Genomic DNA, 3,174 nt, shown 5'->3' on the forward strand with positions numbered 1-3,174 from the left:
TCCAGGACATTTTGCTTCAGCAAGGTCTTTTATTTAGTCGTGCAGCAAGCGATCTTGCAGGATGACTCAAGACAATACATCTTTGTGTTGGAGAAAATCCAAGTTTTTAATGCTTTCCAATTGACCCTTTTACTAAGGCAAAAGAGGCAGACTGTGCAGTGTATTTTCAGGATGTAAGGGATCACTTCAGCTTTGTTCGGTTCCTGCTTCCATAGGTAATATGTTCAACAATGCAAGCAAAATCCAAGGGGGCAGACAGAGATAAAGAGAGATTCTTGGCCAGGCGCGGTGACTCACGCCTGTAATCCCAGCACTTTGGGAGGCCGAGGCAGACGGATCACGAGGTAAGGAGATCGAGACCATCCTGGCTAACACGGTGAAACCCCGTCTCTACTAAAAATACAAAAAATTAGCCGGGCATGGTGGCAGGCGCCTGTAGTCCCAGCTACTTGGGAGGCTGAGGCAGAAGAATGGCGTGAACCCGGAAGGCGGAGCTTGCAGTGAGCCGAGATTGTGCCACTGCACTCCAACCTGGGCGACAGAGTGAGGCTCCGTCTCAAGAAAAAAAAAAAAAAAAAAAAAAAAAAAGCGAGATTTTTGCTGGGCACGGTAGCTCATGCCTGTAATCCCAGCACTTTGAGAGGCCAAGGCGGGTGATCATGAGGTCAGGAGATTGAGACCATCCTAACTAACACGGTGAAACCCCATCTCTACTAAAAATAAAAAAAAATTATCCAGGCGTGGTGGTGGGCGCCTGTAGTCCCAGCTACTGGGGAGCCTGAGGCAGGAGAATCGCTTGAACCTGGAGGCGGGTGCAGTGAGCTGAGATTGCGCCACTGCACTCCAGCCTGGGCGACAGAGCGAGACTCGGTCTCAAAAAAAAAAAAGAGGGATTCTTTTTTTTTGGTGATATATCCTAGCCTAAACTGATATTAAGGTATAAACAGATGTTCATAATCATGTTTCATTTTCAATTCATGTCAAAGAATGGCCTGGTAAATATTATAACAGGCCAATGACACCAATAATGTACCAAACTGTAATTTTGCATACTGCTTTTTACTTATTTATTATGAAACAATGCTTTCATAAAATGTTATACAAAAAGTTTTTCTCCCCAAAATATAGTTTTAAATATTGGGGAAGACGTACAAAAAAAGTATATTTTTCCCCAGGTTTGTGGATCCTCTAGAAGTCATCCATTAGTTCTCTGGCTTATAAACCAAGGGCTAACAACTTCATCTATCAATAAGGCTTTAATCTTCTGATACTAATCTATCTCTTCACTTTTACCTTCATCTATTAAGTATAATTGTCTGAAGTGAGACAGGAAATAATTAAAATAACTTGGAGCAGCAATTTCTAAACTGTGGTGCAAAGGGACACTGACGGCCCCTGGAAAAAACTCATCTTTCCCTTTGCCATTTCCTCCTCTCTCTCCAGACTTTTTTTAAAATCCCAATGTTTCTCTGAAATTGTGATGAATCTCTCAAGAGTTTTTGTGTATGAAGATTGACCACTTGCACATCTGAGAGAATATTGCCTTCTCCTAGCAGGGAGTTTTGACCTATGTGGGGTTTGGGAACACTTACAGCATTCAAAGATCCCCTTTAAAAGGGGTCTGGAACCCAAAGCTCCATTTTAATTTACACATCCTGTGTATCGTCTGTTACAGTTCTTTCTTTTCATGCTATGACTCTTCATCCTGCCCTTGCTCTGATTTTTACTGAAGACCAGCTACTTCAGCCTGTTCATGCATGATCACTTTTTCTGGTATTCTTTTTCCTTCCTCATGTTAAATCCTCATGTTCTTAAGTTTTCTAATTTGTGACCTTCTCATTTACTCTAAGCCTGGCCCTATATGGAGAGCTTCATCCTCCCAGCAGGGGTCACCATAGTTCCTTCCTGGAGAGCCTATAGGTATCATGTTAAAGAATCCACCCTCTGGTCTTTATACAGTTCCAGTTTCTATAGAACATTATAAACACTAAGGCTCAACATTCACATTGTATTCATGTCTGTCCTGATTTAATATTGACTAACACTTTAAACACTTTTTGAAGCAAGTAATGTTATTTTAAAATCGTATGTATTTGTTTTTGTTATAAATTCCTGGATGGACAGGAAAGATAACCCCCACATCATGCCTCATACATTGTAGATTAAAGTTCTTATCCTTAGATACAAATGTATAAAAAACAAAATTACTGTACTTTTTTGTTCTTTTTTTCTTCAATCTATACTTTCTCCTAATAAATTGGAGATATTTGAAGCACTTAGAAATTTGAAGCACTTAGAATCTAAGTATTTGAAGCACTTAGAATCTAAATGATGTAATATAAATAAGATTAAATTAGAATATATTTAATTGTTTTTTAGAATCAAGCATTCTCTTTAAAATTCTTTTCTATATTTATGCCATTTTAACTCATTGCATTGATTTTTAAAAAAATTACACAAATGAAAAAGAACCAGGAAAAGTTAGCTATGTGGTAGTTATGGAAACATAATAAAGTGATTATTTGAGTGAAACTCAGGGAGCAACTTGACTTAAACAAAGATATCACACCACCAATTCTACCTTCTCATTTGTGCATTATTAAATTAGATCATTCCTACAAGCATCAAATATACTATTGTTTTTCTAATCTTAAACAAATATGACTCTTTTTTTTTTTTTTTTTTTTGAGACAGAGTGTCACTCTGTTGCCCAGACTAGAGTGTAGTGGTGTGACCTTGGCTCACTGCAATCTTTGCCTCCTGGGTTCAAGCAATTCTCCTGCCTTAGCCTCCTAAGCAGCTGGGACTACAGGTGCGTGCCATCATGCCCAGCTAATTTTTGTATTTTTAGCAAAGACAAGGTTTTGCCATGTTGACCTGGTCTCGAACTCTTGACCTCAAGTGATCTGTCCACCTCGGCCTCTCAAACTGCTGGATTACAGGTGTGAGCCACCATGCCCAGCCAATACAACTTCTTTTGAGCCTACTTCTCCAGCTACTGCCCTGTGTCTCTGCCCTCCTCTGCAGCAAAAATTACTTGAAAAAGTTGCTTATACTTTCTGTCTTCTTCTTATTCAAATCAGGCTTTTCCCCACCTGCCCCTGAACTTGCTCTCGTCAGGGTAACCAGTGACCTCCATGTTGCTAAATCCAATGGCCGCTTCTCAGTTCTCCT

General features: G+C 39.7%; 1 annotated feature.

Annotated features, from left to right (window-relative positions):
- Nucleotides 1,865-1,964: a silencer, noted in NCBI's record as "silent region_15726". NCBI's record gives its function as "represses an Ori minimal core promoter by ATAC-STARR-seq in GM12878 lymphoblastoid cells {active_cell/tissue: GM12878}" and the evidence as "EXISTENCE:reporter gene assay evidence [ECO:0000049][PMID:35858748]".

This window comes from Homo sapiens, chromosome 4 (genome assembly GCF_000001405.40).
Source record: "Homo sapiens chromosome 4, GRCh38.p14 Primary Assembly".
Taxonomy (NCBI): domain Eukaryota; kingdom Metazoa; phylum Chordata; class Mammalia; order Primates; family Hominidae; genus Homo; species Homo sapiens.